Source organism: Homo sapiens, chromosome 10, assembly GCF_000001405.40.
Source record: "Homo sapiens chromosome 10, GRCh38.p14 Primary Assembly".
Taxonomy (NCBI): Eukaryota; Metazoa; Chordata; class Mammalia; order Primates; family Hominidae; genus Homo; species Homo sapiens.
Genome location: NC_000010.11, coordinates 31,996,887 through 32,013,249, shown reverse-complemented (window position 1 = coordinate 32,013,249; position 16,363 = coordinate 31,996,887). Strand labels below are relative to the sequence as shown.

At 41.0% G+C, this 16,363-nt stretch overlaps 1 protein-coding gene and 1 long non-coding RNA gene across 3 annotated transcripts in view, besides 1 other annotated feature; one reads left to right on the top strand and one right to left on the bottom strand.

Annotated features, from left to right (window-relative positions):
• Positions 1-4,235, top strand: part of KIF5B (kinesin family member 5B) — a 47,411-nt gene extending 43,176 nt beyond the window's left edge. For both annotated transcript variants that reach the window (NM_004521.3, XM_047425203.1), the window contains one exon: positions 1,734-4,235. The gene's annotated coding sequence lies outside the window, so the exon portion shown is untranslated. The remainder of the gene's footprint in view (positions 1-1,733) is intronic.
• Positions 1-16,363, bottom strand: part of LOC107984219 (uncharacterized) — a 97,548-nt gene that overhangs the window by 7,150 nt on the left and 74,035 nt on the right. The gene's annotated exons all lie outside the window — the stretch shown is intronic.
• Positions 9,757-10,572: an enhancer, noted in NCBI's record as "H3K27ac-H3K4me1 hESC enhancer chr10:32291606-32292421 (GRCh37/hg19 assembly coordinates)". NCBI's record gives its function as "activates a minimal SCP1, AML or CMV promoter by ChIP-STARR-seq in primed H9 embryonic stem cells {active_cell/tissue: H9 hESC(primed)}" and the evidence as "EXISTENCE:reporter gene assay evidence [ECO:0000049][PMID:30033119]".

Genomic DNA, 16,363 nt, shown 5'->3' with positions numbered 1-16,363 from the left:
TAGCAGTTTTATTAGTAAAATGGAAGTCATTCTTAAGAATTACATGAGTTGGCCGGGAGCAGTGGCTCACACCTGTAATCCCAGCACTTGGGAGGCTGAGGTGGGTGGGTCACCTCAGGTCAGGAGTTCGAGACCAGCCTGACCAACACGGAGAAACCCTGCCTCTACTAAAAATACAAAATCAGCAGGGCGTGGTGGCACATGCCTGTAATCCCAGCTACTCGGGAGGCTGGGGCAGGAGAATCGCTTGAACCCAGGAGGCGGAGTTTGCAGTGATCCGAGATCGTGGCATTGCACTCCAGCCTGGGCAACAAGAGCAAAACTCCGTCTCAAAAAAAAAAAAAAAAAAATTACATGAGTTAAGATGTTACCCAGCACACAGTATTCAGTAGATGCAAGCCTTTTCCTACCTTTCTGGAAGTGGGAGCTGGGCAAGGGGATTTTCAAAGCATAGATAGAAAGTTTATCCTTTTTGGATATTGTCCTCACATTAAAATTCATATGTCAACTTTAAACTTACCTCATTGTAGAGAGAGGACAGACCATACTTTTGTTAACTATTGCTGATAGCAGTAAAGTGACACCAGGTTAGCACATAAGGGAGGGAGCTAACCCAGCCAAACTAGGTTTTCAAGACTTGAAAGTTATGATGTAAAAATACAATTATTTACAGGTTTGTTTTGATGCTGGTCCAAAGATAGTGGTTCTTAGTTTTCAAACTCTTATAATCTATCTTAAACCATGATTGGGGAGTATATGATTCACTTAAGTGATAAATTGTTTAAATGTTAAATAATTTGCACTGGAGTGCAGTGGCAGGATCTCGGCTCACTGCAACCTCTGCTTCCCGGGTTCAAGCAGTTCTCCCTGCCTCACCCTCCCGAGTAGCTGGGATTACAGGCGCCCACTACCACGCCCGCCTAAGGTTTTTGTATTTTTACTAGAGACGGGGTTTTGCCATGTTGGCCAGGCTGGTATTGAACTCCTGACCGCAGGTGATCTGCCTCCCTCAGCCTCCCAAAGTGCTCAGATTACAGGTGTGAGCCACTGTGCCCGGCGAGAAATTTTTTTAATGTTAAGAAAAACATTTCAAGTCACTGTGTTTATTTTTGGAAAGGATGACATTTATAATACTGATACTTTTAGTTCCCAGTTTTACATGACTAGTCTTCTGCCTTGCATAGTACTTTAAATAGGTTGCTTTTCTAAATGCATAGGTAAGTAGGCAGTTTAATACTACTAGAATTATTTATTTCACTGTTACTTTTCCTACTGTATACACCTCTTGTTTATCCCTATTCCTCTCCCCCTTTTTTTTTTAAAGCTTCTATGTATATAACTAGTAGTTGCTGGTTAGTGTTCCTTGGTTTAAGAAGGTCACTGACCACTGTCTGCTGGTTAAAAGATTAGCCGTCTTTTTCTTTTTTAAACAAATACAATTCATAAATCAGCTTACCCATAGCTTTATTTGGGAGAATAAAAACAAAGGGAGGGCTGACCTCCCTTTAAACATTACTGCTTCTAAACAGTTCTACTTAGGTAGTATATAAAAGGAAACCAAATCATTTAATATTGCCATCCTTCTAATTTTGGGGAAAGTAGCCACAGATGTTGGCTAAAATGTTTATAATAAACTGTTGGCATATTTTATTTTGTTTTATTCTTCATGATTATCTCAAACACCAATTTTGTAAAACTAAACATATTTACTCTATGCTTTCTCCCATTTTTAGGTGTTAAAAAGTAATCGAAGTACGAAGAGGACATGGTATCAAGCAGTCATTCAATGACTATAACCTCTACTCCCTTGGGATTGTAGAATTATAACTTTTAAAAAAAATGTATAAATTATACCTGGCCTGTACAGCTGTTTCCTACCTACTCTTCTTGTAAACTCTGCTGCTTCCCAACACAACTAGAGTGCAATTTTGGCATCTTAGGAGGGAAAAAGGACAGTTTACAACTGTGGCCCTATTTATTACACAGTTTGTCTATCGTGTCTTAAATTTAGTCTTTACTGTGCCAAGCTAACTGTACCTTATAGGACTGTACTTTTTGTATTTTTTGTGTATGTTTATTTTTTAATCTCAGTTTAAATTACCTAGCTGCTACTGCTTCTTGTTTTTCTTTTCCTATTAAAACGTCTTCCTTTTTTTTTCTTAAGAGAAAATGGAACATTTAGGTTAAATGTCTTTAAATTTTACCACTTAACAACACTACATGCCCATAAAATATATCCAGTCAGTACTGTATTTTAAAATCCCTTGAAATGATGATATCAGGGTTAAAATTACTTGTATTGTTTCTGAAGTTTGCTCCTGAAAACTACTGTTTGAGCACTGAAACGTTACAAATGCCTAATAGGCATTTGAGACTGAGCAAGGCTACTTGTTATCTCATGAAATGCCTGTTGCCGAGTTATTTTGAATAGAAATATTTTAAAGTATCAAAAGCAGATCTTAGTTTAAGGGAGTTTGGAAAAGGAATTATATTTCTCTTTTTCCTGATTCTGTACTCAACAAGTCTTGATGGAATTAAAATACTCTGCTTTATTCTGGTGAGCCTGCTAGCTAATATAAGTATTGGACAGGTAATAATTTGTCATCTTTAATATTAGTAAAATGAATTAAGATATTATAGGATTAAACATAATTTTATACGGTTAGTACTTTATTGGCCGACCTAAATTTATAGCGTGTGGAAATTGAGAAAAATGAAGAAACAGGACAGATATATGATGAATTAAAAATATATATAGGTCAATTTTGGTCTGAAATCCCTGAGGTGTTTTTAACCTGCTACACTAATTTGTACACTAATTTATTTCTTTAGTCTAGAAATAGTAAATTGTTTGCAAGTCACTAATAATCATTAGATAAATTATTTTCTTGGCCATAGCCGATAATTTTGTAATCAGTACTAAGTGTATACGTATTTTTGCCACTTTTTCCTCAGATGATTAAAGTAAGTCAACAGCTTATTTTAGGAAACTGTAAAAGTAATAGGGAAAGAGATTTCACTATTTGCTTCATCAGTGGTAGGGGGGCGGTGACTGCAACTGTGTTAGCAGAAATTCACAGAGAATGGGGATTTAAGGTTAGCAGAGAAACTTGGAAAGTTCTGTGTTAGGATCTTGCTGGCAGAATTAACTTTTTGCAAAAGTTTTATACACAGATATTTGTATTAAATTTGGAGCCATAGTCAGAAGACTCAGATCATAATTGGCTTATTTTTCTATTTCCGTAACTATTGTAATTTCCACTTTTGTAATAATTTTGATTTAAAATATAAATTTATTTATTTATTTTTTTAATAGTCAAAAATCTTTGCTGTTGTAGTCTGCAACCTCTAAAATGATTGTGTTGCTTTTAGGATTGATCAGAAGAAACACTCCAAAAATTGAGATGAAATGTTGGTGCAGCCAGTTATAAGTAATATAGTTAACAAGCAAAAAAAGTGCTGCCACCTTTTATGATGATTTTCTAAATGGAGAAACATTTGGCTGCATCCACATAGACCTTTATGTTTTGTTTTCAGTTGAAAACTTGCCTCCTTTGGCAACATTCGTAAATGAAGCAGAATTTTTTTTTCTCTTTTTTCCAAATATGTTAGTTTTGTTCTTGTAAGATGTATCATGGGTATTGGTGCTGTGTAATGAACAACGAATTTTAATTAGCATGTGGTTCAGAATATACAATGTTAGGTTTTTAAAAAGTATCTTGATGGTTCTTTTCTATTTATAATTTCAGACTTTCATAAAGTGTACCAAGAATTTCATAAATTTGTTTTCAGTGAACTGCTTTTTGCTATGGTAGGTCATTAAACACAGCACTTACTCTTAAAAATGAAAATTTCTGATCATCTAGGATATTGACACATTTCAATTTGCAGTGTCTTTTTGACTGGATATATTAACGTTCCTCTGAATGGCATTGATAGATGGTTCAGAAGAGAAACTCAATGAAATAAAGAGAATATTTATTCATGGCGATTAATTAAATTATTTGCCTAACTTAAGAAAACTACTGTGCGTAACTCTCAGTTTGTGCTTAACTCCATTTGACATGAGGTGACAGAAGAGAGTCTGAGTCTACCTGTGGAATATGTTGGTTTATTTTCAGTGCTTGAAGATACATTCACAAATACTTGGTTTGGGAAGACACCGTTTAATTTTAAGTTAACTTGCATGTTGTAAATGCGTTTTATGTTTAAATAAAGAGGAAAATTTTTTGAAATGTAATGACTTTCTTAAAACTTAAGTGTTAGGTTGATTTTACATGGCTGAGTTCAGGCCTTCTGTCTTGACAGAATAGTGACTGATATGTCATTATATTTATGTATATTTTGTTTCCTAATGTCTTGCAGCCTTTTGGACCGCAGATATTAAATGTATAGGCTAAAGAGCTAGAAATGAATGACCAGTCTCACATATAAAACTTTTTTTTTTTTTTTTTTTTTTTTTGAGATAGAGTCTTGCTCTGTCGCCCAGGCTGGAGTGCAGTGGTGTGATCTCGGCTCACCGCAACTCTTATCACCTGGATTCTAGTGATTCTCCTGCCTTAGCCTCCCAAGTAACTGGGATTACAGGCATATGCCACCACGCCCAACTAATTTTTGTATTTGTATTAGAGATGGGGTTTCACCATGTTGGCCAGGCTGGTCTCGAACTCCTGACCTCATGTGATCCTCCTGCCTCGGCCTCCAAAAGTACTGGGATTACAGGCGCGAGCCACTGCACCCGACCGGTGTCACCTGTATTTTACTTTGTATAGTCCCCATTGTTCATCTGAGTCTGGTTGTTTTATTAACCAGGATAAGAACACTTGTTAACGTTTGTGTTTTAGATACTTCCTCAATGATCATTCAGGTCTAGCTGAAGAATAACTTTAAAAAGACTGTTCCTAAATTCAAGTGGGTATTTGTTTTTTCTTGTTTTGGGGGGCATTGGGCTTTATATGTTTTTATACTGTTGTGGAAAATTTTAATCAGATATGAAATCAGACAATAATAATGAGTAATACCAGTTAGTCTCAACAATTATCAACTTACAGCTAATCTTGTTTCATCCGTAATCTACTCATCTTCCCCCAACAACCCCCCGCCCCGCCCCGTGTTATTTTGAAGCAATCCTAGAAAAACATATGCTGCTTTTTTTTTTTTTTTTTTTTTTTTTTTTTTTTTTGAGACGGAGTCTCACTCTGTCGCCCAGGCTGGAGTGCAGTGGCATGATCTCAGCTCACTGCAAGCTCCGCCTTCCGGGTTCACTGCCATTCTCCTGCCTCAGCCTCCCAAGTAGATGGGACTACAGGCACCCGCACCATGCCTGGCTAATTTTTTGTATTTTCTTTTTTAATAGTAGAGATGGGGTTTCACCGTGTTAGCCAGGATGGTCTCGATTTCCTGACCTCGAGATCCGCCTGCCTCGGCTCCCCCAAAGTGCTGGGATTACAGGTGTGAACCACCGGGCTAAGTATTTCAGTATGTATTTTTAAAAGATAAGGACTCCTTAAAACATACCCAACAAATACCATTATCACATCAAAAAATTTATAATTTCCTGATATTCAAATATTTAGTTTTTGTAAACAGTTTGAGTCAAGATCCAATGGAAGTTCATATATTAATGAAGAGTCCGACTCTTACTAATTTTTTCATTGCAATGTATGAAGAAAATAACTTTTTTGCCCTGTAGTTTCCCAGATACTGCAGTTGCATCCCTTTCATATCATTTAACGAATTTCTGTGGCCTTTATGTTTCCTATAAATTTGTTTCAGATCCACAGACGTAATCAGATTCAGATAGTTGTTTTGTTGGATGGGGACAGTATTTATAGGTGGTGGTATTCCATCAGGTGGCACATAATGTGTACTTGTCTCTTCTTGAGCTATTAGTCACTATTGATGATCAGTGCCTAGATCCATCTAAATAGGGGATACAGACACAGCATTTTTTTCATTTGTTTGCTGCAGTAGAGAAACTTGGTCTCTTACTTTATAGTTATCTAGTGGGTGTGTTTGTATAGTTATCTAGTGGGTGTGTGTGTATAGTTTGTGTAGGAAAGACAAGGTAAATGCTTCTTTCCGTTTATTTGTAAGTAAGTTTCAAAATGAGCTGCTTCACTACTGTCTTCCAGTAGTGACTAGTTTCGTATTTTTTCCTTTTTGGTTTTTTATTATTTTATTATCTTTTAGGTGTGCTCTATAAGCCTTTGTATTAATTTTTTTTCCTTTCCTGGAGAAATTTGAAAACAGTTTTTTTTCCAAATTAAAAAAAATCGCAGCACATCTAAGGAATAGGATGCAAAAGGGAATATAGGAGTGATAGAAACTAGTGAGAAAATTTATACACTCATGCAGGCAAACTAGGATAGGGGATGGATAATTAATACAGTATCATAACTGATGGCCAGAGAACTTGATTTTTTTTTTTTTTAATTGAGACAGGGTCTCTCTTTTTTCTTTTCTTTTTTTTTTTTTTTTGAGACAGGGTCTTGCTGTCACCCAGGCTGGAGTGCAGTGGTGCAGTGGTGCGATCTCAGTGCACTGCAACCTCTGTCTTCCCAGCCCAGGTGATTCTCCTACCTCAGCTTCCCGAGTAGCTGGGATCACAGGCATGCGCTACTACGTCTGGCTAATTTTTTTTTTTTTTTTTTTTGGATTTTTGGTAGAAATGGGGTTTTGCCATGTTGTCCAAGCTAGTTTTGAACTCCTGAGCTCAGGTGATTCACTCATCTTGACCTCCCAAAATGCTGCGATTATAGGCGTGAGCCACTGTGCCCAGCCTCCAATGCTTTTTTTTTTTTTTTTTTTTTTGAGATGTAGTTTCCCTCTTGTTGCCCAGGCTGGAGTGCAATGGCGCAATCTTGGCTCACCGCAACCTCTGCCTCCTGGGTTCAAGCGATTCTCCCCTCAGCCTCCCGAGTAGCTGGTATTTTAGGCATGCACCACCACGCGCAGCTGATTTTGTATTTTTTAGTAGAGACGGGGTTTCTCCATGTTGGTCAGGCAGGTTTTGAACTCCCGACCTGAGGTGATCCACCTGCCTTGGCCTCCTGAAGTGCTGGGATTACAGGCGTGAGCCACCGTGCCTGGCCCGATGCTTTTTAAATTTTTCTTGAGAGAGGGTCTGGCTCCGTTGCCCAGGCTGGAATACAGTGGTGTGATCTTGTCTCACTGCTACCTGTCTGTCCCCCAGGCTCAAGCTGTCCTCCTGCCTCAGGTTCCCTAGTAGCTGGTACTACAGGCATGTGCCACCATGCCTGGCTAATTTTTGTACAGATAGTTTCACCATGTTGCCCAGCCGGGTCTCAAACTCCTGAGCTCAAGTGATCCACTCCCTTCGGCCTCTCAAAGTGCTGGCATTACAGGTGTGAGCCCCTGTGGCTGGTCAGCTTTTTTAAAAGATGGGGTCTTGCTCTGTCACCCAGGCTGGAGTGCAGTAGTGCAGTCAGTCTACTGGGGATCCCATGCTGGTGGATCATACAAAACTCTCAGTGGCTGCTTGAGGCTCTGTCGTCAAGAAAGGCAAACTCACATTTTTCTGTTAGAACAAATTGCAGGCCCTCCTGGGATAGGAGACTCTATGTACTCAACTTACCACCAAGTTGCTAGTTGGTTTCTTCAAGGGACAGTTGAACTCAATATTGCTGGTAGGACGTTAGGCAGCAGACGTAATTGGATCAGCCTTTGTAAGTGGGAGCCGTTGCTACTGGACGTGCATAGCTTTCATCTCCCACTGGCCACACCATTCCTGTGCTCACGATACCAGCACTGCAGCGATGGATGACAGACTGGCGGATGACAGACTGGCTGATGTCAACCATTGGTTAAATTCCTCTTCCCTAGTAGATACTGTCTGGTAGGCATTAACATGTCACACAAGATCCTCACATCCTTTGCTGATACCCCTGTCTATGTCTACGGGAAGGGCAGGCACAGCAGCTTGAGACTTCTGTTTGGCCTTTGTCACTATACAGGATAACCTGTATCCAACAGGCCAAAGATGTAATGTAGTGATCATGCCAGTTACCAAGTGTGTCAATTCTAGTTAGACATCAGAGACACGGAAATGACCAGCAGAGGGATCCACAGAGCATGTGCTGCTTTAATGTGAGCACTATATGTTACCTAAATAGAACCATACCTCCATCTGCGGCCCCTATGATGATGCTTTAGGTTTCTAGGTACAACGTCAGCTTAGACCCTGTATCCAACAGCCTTCAAAATATTTGGGTGTTCCCTTTTGTCCATTGTTCAGTAACCTGAATAAATGGCCATCATTCTTTTGAGGGCAGGACTGGGGAATTGTAGTCGGTACTGGGTTGTTGCAAGGTCTTTCCTCCTGGGGACTGGACCTCATGACTGCAGAGGTAATCAGGTTAAAATGCAGTCATTTTCCAATATAACTTAATCCAATATAACTTAAAGGGAATGCATAGAGGGGAGATGATTAGCAGAGATGGCATCTACAGGCTAAGGAAAGGGGCCTTGAACAGCTCTTTCCCTCACAGACCTTAGAGGGAATCCATTCTGCCAACACCTTAATTTTGGACTTGTAGCCTCCAGAACCATAAGACAATACATTTCTGCTGTTTAACCCACCCAGTCTGTGGTACTTAACAGCAGCCCTAGCAAACTAACACAATAGCCTGCTCTGATAATTCAGCAGGACCCTCTAGGCATTTCTCCTTAGCATGGTCAGCATAAGCTTTGTACAGTTGAGCTTTGTCAGTACAAGAGAAAGGGGCTACTTTTCTCAGGTCTGGCATGCTTCCCCTGGCTGCTTATTACCATCCTGTTGTCAGGCATGGCTCAGCCCCAGCTGTGACCCGAGTATGCAGTCAGTTAGCCAGCTTTCAGCTCTGGCCTTGGCCCTGTGACTACCTCGCTAGCTGGCAGGTGGCTCCCTCTGAGCCTGTCCTTCAGCCTCAGCTCACACATAGCCTGGAGAGGCACTCCCTGCTTGTGGCTGCAGTTTTCTGTCCTCTTGTACTCTGGAGGAGTGTGCCAGCCTCAGCCCATGTGTACCCCAATGGTGTGTTTCCTTCTTGCCCGTCCTGGCCATGATTCCCTGCTTGCCAGTGGCAGCCTGAATGTACCTCAAAGGAAAGTTCCTTGGTGACTGACTCAGCTGTCACCCAGCGCAATCCAGCAAATGTCCCTGCCATACAGTGGGCTGCAGCCACACCTCTGCAAGATCTGAAACCCAAACTTGGGGAGGGACATCCCTATCTAAGAGTTTGATCCTTCCTTGGGTACTTTCCCTTAACCCTAGGGTATCCTGTAAAGTTTTATGTATCCATTTGTAAGGCAATCCCCTTGGACCTTGACTGATACAAAGGGTGATATGTAAGTTTATACTCAGAATCTTATTTATTATTTATTTACTGAGACAGAGTTTCGCTCTTGTCGCCCAGGCTGGAGTGCAATGGCATGATCTCGGCTCACTGCAACTTACACCTCCCAGGTTCAAGCGATTCTCCTGCCTCAGCCTCCTAAGTAGCTGGGATTGCAGGCGCCTGCCATCACGCCCAGCTAATTTTTTTTTTTTTTTTTTTAGACGGAGTCTCGCTCTGTTGCCACGCTGGAGTGCTGTGGCACAATCTTGACTCACTGCAGAAAGTAGGAAAGAAAAGACCAGAACAAAAGGCCTCAGATCTGAATAATAAGCATGCCATAAAGAGAACAGAAGAAACAGCAGAGGAAATCACCAATGAAACTGAAAGCCATGGCTTTCCAGTGCCCAGCACAATATATAAAAACAGACCCGCACTAGGGTATGCCATTGTGAATTTCACTACAAGGAATACCTGAACTAGAAAAAATTTTAAAAGTTTCATACAAAGGACTGAGAATCTGAATGCCTCAAATAACATCAGATATGAGAAGAAAGTAGATCAATATCTTTAAAATTCCAAGGGAATGTTATCTCCAGCCTCAATTAGTGTAAGGGTAGGTGGAATAAAAAGGTTTCCAGGCACACCAGTTCCCAAAAATGTTACTTCTTTATTTTTATTTTTTAAGACAGGCTGCGGTGGTTCAGTGGTGTGATCTCAGCTCACTGCAACTTCTGCCTCCCAGGTGCAAGAATCACTTGATTCTCATGCCTCAGCCTCCCAAGTAGCTAGGACTACAGGCATGCACCACCTCCTGGATTCAAGCAATTCTCCTGCCTCAACCTCCTGAGTAGCTGGGACTACAGGCGCGTGCCTCCACGCCCGGCTAATTTTTTCATATTTTTAGTAGCGACGGGGTTTCGCCATGTTGGCCAGGCTAGTCTCGAACTCCTGGCCACAGGTGATCCACCCGCCTCGGCCTCCTAAAGTGCTGGGATTCCAGGTGTGAGCCACTGTGCCCAGCCTGTATTCAGAATATTTAATGCTTAGCACTTTCCCCTACTTGGCTGTCTGAATGCTGGTAGCCAGGCTTATGCTTCCAGCCAGGAGATGAGAAGATTCTGTGCAAAATTTGGCAGCTGATATTGGGGGTCTCCAGGGAAGCAGCAGTTTCAGGAATGCCAGAGTCAACAAATCCTACTCCTATGAGCCGGTTGCTTCCAGTCAGCTTATTGTCCCCCTCTTCAATATGTGCAGACAGGCAAGGATCACCAGCCATTTGAGGAATGCCTCTAGGGTGAAAGGTAGAATCAAAACCCACAACCCAAAATGGAGCAAAGTGGGACTGTGAAGGGAGAAGAAAACATTTTTAAGGAACTGCCACTAATATCCTCAGGTTTTGAAATTGTAAGGTTTTTCTCCATCTAAGAAAAAAAGAATATTCAGAAAATAAGTCCTGAAAATAGAAATTAAAAACTCAATAGAAGGGTGAGAAGATGAAGTTGAGGAAATCTCCCACAAAGTAGTACAAAAAGAACAGCTGGAAAGTAGGAAAGAAAAGACCAGAACAAAAGGCCTCAGATCTGAATAATAAGCATGCCATAAAGAGAACAGAAGAAACAGCAGAGGAAATCATTAGTGAAACTGAAAGCCATGGCTTTCCAATGCCCAGCACAATATATAAAAACAGACCCGCACTAGGGTATGCCATTGTGAATTTCACTACAAAGAATACCTGAACTAGAAAAAATTTTAAAAGTTTCATACAAAGGACTGAGAATCTGAATGCCTCAAATAACATCAGATATTAGAAGAAAGTAGATCAATATCTTTAAAATTCCAAGGCAATGTTATCTCCAGCCTCAATTAGTGTAAGGGTAGGTGGAATAAAAAGGTTTCCAGGCACACCAGCTCCCAAAAATGTTACTTCTTTATTTTTATTTTTTAAGACAGGTTGCGGTGGTGCAGTGGTGTGATCTCAGCTCACTGCAACTTCTGCCTCCCAGGTGCAAGCAGTTCTCATGCCTCAGTCTCCCAAGTAGCTAGGACTACAGGCATGCACCACTATGCCCGGCTCGTTTTTTTATTTTTGGTAGAGATGGGGGTTTCACCATGTTGGCCAAGCTGGTCTCAAACTCCTGTCCTCAAGTGATCCACCCACCTCGGCCTCCCAAAGTGCTGGGATTACAGGCATGAGCCACCGTGCTGGCCAGCAAAAATGTCACTTCTTATGTACCTTTTATCGGGAAGCTGTTCCTCAACCACAATAAGGGAGTAAACTAAGAAAGATGCAGGGCATACAAAAGAACAGAACCCCCAAGGTGACAGCATACACAGCAACCAGTCCAGACAAGAGCCAGTCAGAGACGCTTCCAAGACAAAATGGAGAGTAATTGATATATTTGAACATTTTGAGAGGAGATTTATAAAACTGGAGAGTTTAGGGTGGAATAAATGATTGGTACAAAGAACACTAAGAAAAAAATTACTATTCATAAAAGAATCATATAAGCAAGAAAGGGAAAGTCATAGTCTAATTACATGGCTCAGTTGTGATTGGCATGTCGTTGTCATAATAATGTAAACAAGGATTATTAACGAAATTCATGATATGCCCTTATTGGGAAGAGGAGGAGTTGAGGGGTGTGTATGTTTGTTGATGGTAGTGAAAGAGTCCTCATCTCCCTTAGTGATGAGACAACTGATAATGCTTAAACATGAATAATTCGGAAGTACTGGAGATCTGGAGATGAGAACAGAGAAAGTGGTTGCTTCTGGGGAATGCAAAGAATGTGAAGCGGGAAAAGCAACTGCTGGTTTTTCAAGGATGTTTTCTAGAGCTTGTTTGACTTTTTGGGCCTCAGATTGTATTTTGCCATCAAGCTCCCTGGGAAGTACAGTCAGCCCGCCATATCCATGAGTTCCACATCTGTGGATTCAACCAACCACAGATGAAAATATTCCAGGAGGGAAAGGCCGGGTGCAGTGGCTTATACCTGTAATCCCAGCACTTTGGGAGGCCAAGGCAGGAGAATCACTTGAGTCTGGGAGGTCAAGGCTGCAGTGAGCTATGATCGTGCCACTGCAGTCCAGCCTGGGTGACAGAACAAGACCCTGTCTTACACATAACATAAAATTTACCATCGTGACCACTTTTTTTTTTTTTTTCAGAGTCTCACTCTGTTGCCCAAGCTGGAGTGCAGCAGCACAATCTCTGCTCACTGCAACCTCTGCCTCCTGGGCTCAAGCGATTCTCCCGCCTCAGCCTCCTGAGTAGCTGGGATTATAGGCGCAGGCCACCACGCCTGGCTAATTTTTTATTTTAGTAGAGACAGAGTTTCACCATGTTGTCCAGGGTGGTTTCGAACTCCTGAGCTCAGGCAATCCGCCCGCCTCAGACTCCCAAAGTGCTGGGATTACAGGTGTGAGCCACTGCGCCCGGCCTTGACCACTTTTAAGGCTACAGTTCAGCAGTGTTGGAAAAGAAGCAATTTTTTAAAAGGAAATGTACACGGAAATCAGTTCAGAACTGGAAGTGCTAATATCTTTTGCTGTATTTGTTTCATGCTCTGCACTGAAATATTTGTTTAATGTTCTTTAGTTCATATTAACTTGCCAGAATAATGTTAACATAAAAACTTTCAATTGTTTCCACTGTAGGTAAAATTAGAACCTATTACAACTAGTTAAAATATTCAATAAATTAACTCATTTTCCCCCCACTTCACAGTTAAGAGCCATTTGAAATGAAAAAGGAATGTTACTAAATCTAAGCAATCCCAAATAAATGCCCATTGTTTCTTGAGAGATAGACAAGACATCGCCAGTATGAGTGACAGAAGAACACCCACAACAACATCCTGGATATATTATTTGCTCTCTGAATAAAAGGCGCATAGCTTTTCTATACAATAACTGGAATTGTGCATGGTCCCCCTCCACATTGCTCTGAAAATGAACTTTTGTTTTATGCAGATGTAGGCGAATTAGAATGAACAAAGGCCCACATTTTAAGGCTGAGAACATTCAATTGAAAATGAAAAATGGATTTTTCTTCTATTAGACAGGAGAGCAAATGTAAATGTTTTGCAGCGGGCAGGCTAAGGCAGACCTGAGGTCCCAGAGTTGTCTCCTTTGAAAGTGGCTGGCTACTGGCAAGTACTAATAGTTCCTGAATGCTCCCATCAAGGGTCCTCATATGGCCCATCAGAAGGGATAAACAGAAAGAAGTCAAAACCACTTTCCTGTGTCCTCTGGCCCAGTATCTGCACAAAGGACCAACTGCTTCTCACACTTATTATAGTAGCTGGTTCATTTCAAGGTCTGGACCACTTGCTAGAGGACTGGACCTACAGAGATCTATCTACGGGGCTGGGAAACTGTCCAAGACCCTTCAACAGAACTTTTACAGGAGAAAATCCTGGAGACCATTCTTAAGAGGGCTGATGACTAGTTATTAAGGAATGTTGAGGTCCAGATCCCTGAGCCTGGGCACAGAGGCAACCTTCAAATCCCCTTCCATCTCCCTTCCCTGCCCCTCCCCAACACCTGACAAGGCTAAGTTCACTCTAATACCTGACAATAGCTCCATGGAGAATTCACAGCCAGCAAACCTCTACTGTGTTGTCTTCAGCTGTAGTCATTGTTCACAGTCCAGAATGATCGATCACCCCTCTGCTCTGTCTGATTCCTCCTTTCTGCTCCACAATTAGCTTTCCTCACTTCCTACCTCATCATAGACTCTCATTCACCCCTTAAACGCTGATGTTCTCAGAGCACTCTTTTGGCAACACATGCTTTCTGACATACACCCATGTGATTTTAATTTAACTCTCATCTATATGCTGATAAATATAAACCTAAAATCTGCTTCTCCAACCCCAATTTCCCTTATAAATTTCTAACTCATATATCCAACTGCATGCAGGCCATATCCAGGTGAAGCCTCCACAGGCATCTACAACTCAACATGTCCAAAAGTGAACCAACAAAGACACATGTGTGGGTAAATAAAAGTCACAATCTCTTACCTAAAACCTTGGACAAATGTTTTATGAAATTGTAAATTTTCAGATTTTAGAAAAGATAATACACAGTATATAACACCGCAGTTATTTATGTATTTCTATCAAACACAAGTTTTCATTCAGCAACAGTTTTTTCTTCCAGCTCTTTATATGAAGTGGAATACACAAAGAATACAAACAGCCTAATGTCAATTGAGGTCATGTTATCAAGTGAGTTTGTACCACATTTACAAAAAAAATTTTTCAGAGCTTTTTAGATACTGGAATTGTAAAAAAGTGACTATTAAACTTTACTTGTCACATGTATGACATTAAAGGGCTAATATCCTTAATACACACAGGGCTCTTAGAAATAAAGAATAAAAAGATGAAAACCCCACAGGAAAATGGACCAAGGACATGAATAGACCATTTAAAGAAAATATGTTTTAAATGTTCAATCTTATTGTAAAAAAAAAAAAAAAAAAAGGCAACTCGAAATAGGTATTTTCTGCTTATCAGATGAGCAGGGATAAAAAATAAGTTGGCAAAAGTATGGAGAAACAGGCACTCACACTGTTAGTAAATGTTTGTAAAAAGCTTAGAACAGTTGTCTAGTAAGCACATAGTAAGCTTTATATAAGTGCTTGTTAAATAACTTGGTGGAAGTTTGTAGTGGTACAAACTTTTGGGAGGACAACTTATCAATATCTATTAAAATTTTTTTTTTTGAGACGGAGTTTTGCTCTTGTTGCCCAGGCTGGAGTGCAATGGCGTGATCTTGGCTCACTGTAACCTCCGCCTCCTGGGTTCAAGTGATTCTCCTGCCTTGGCCTCCCAAATAGCTGGGATTACAGGCATGCACCACCACGACCGGCTAATTTTTGTATTTTTAGTAGAGATGGGGTTTCTCCATGTTCATCAGGCTGGTCTCGAACTCACAGCCTCAGGTGATCTGCCCGCCTCGGCCTCCCAAAATGCTGGGATTACAGGCGTGAGCCACTGCACATGGCCAATATTTATTAAAATTTTTAATGTGTATATCCCATTATCCAACACTTCCAATTGTAAGAATTTATTCTACCAAAACTACACAGATGTGCAGAGCTCAATTGCGTGGAAAGATGTTCACTGAATCACTCTAATAATGAAATCTGAAAACAACACTGCCAGCGCTTATGCTGTGTTTTTCCTCAGGCCAGCGGGAAGATGGCCGCATCACATTCAGATGCATTGGTAACCAGAGGATGGAGAGAGAGTGTCTCTCTTTCTGTGGCTCTGTCTTACGAGTGGAAAAACTTTTCCCAGAAGCTTCCCATCAGATTCCCTCTCCTGTCTCAGTCGACAGAACTGGACCACAAGGAAATTCCCAAACCAATGCCTGACAAGGGGATGGGATTATTCTAGGCTAGTGGTCCTCAAATATTTTTATCTGAGGACCCATTTGGACTCAAAAATTAGGGCCAGGTGTGGTGGCTCATGCCTGTAATTCCAAAACTTTGGGAGGCCAAGACAGGAGGATTGATGCCAGGAGGTCAAGGCTGCAGTGAGCTATGATTACCTACTACGCTCCAGCCTGGGTGACAGCAAGACCCTAAAAAAAAATAATAATATTGAGGATCCCCAAAAATCTTTGCTTTTATGAGTTATATCTATCACTAAAATTTTGAAATATTTATTGATATAAAAATAAGAAATCTAGGCCAGGCGCAGTGGCTCACACCTGTAATCCTAGCACTTTGGGAGGCTGACACGGGTGAATCACAAGGTCAGGAGTTTGAGACCATCCTGGCCAACATGGTGAAACCCCGTCTCTACTAAAAATACAAAAAATTAGCTGGGCATGATGGCAGGCACCTGTAATCCCAGCTACTCGGGAGGTCAAGGCAGGAGAATTGCTTGAACCCGGGAGGCGGAGGTTGCAGTGAGCCAAGATCACACCACTGCACTTCAGCCTGGGCAACAGTGCGAGACTCTGTCTCAGAAAGAAAAAAGAAGAGAAGAGAAATCTGTTACATATTC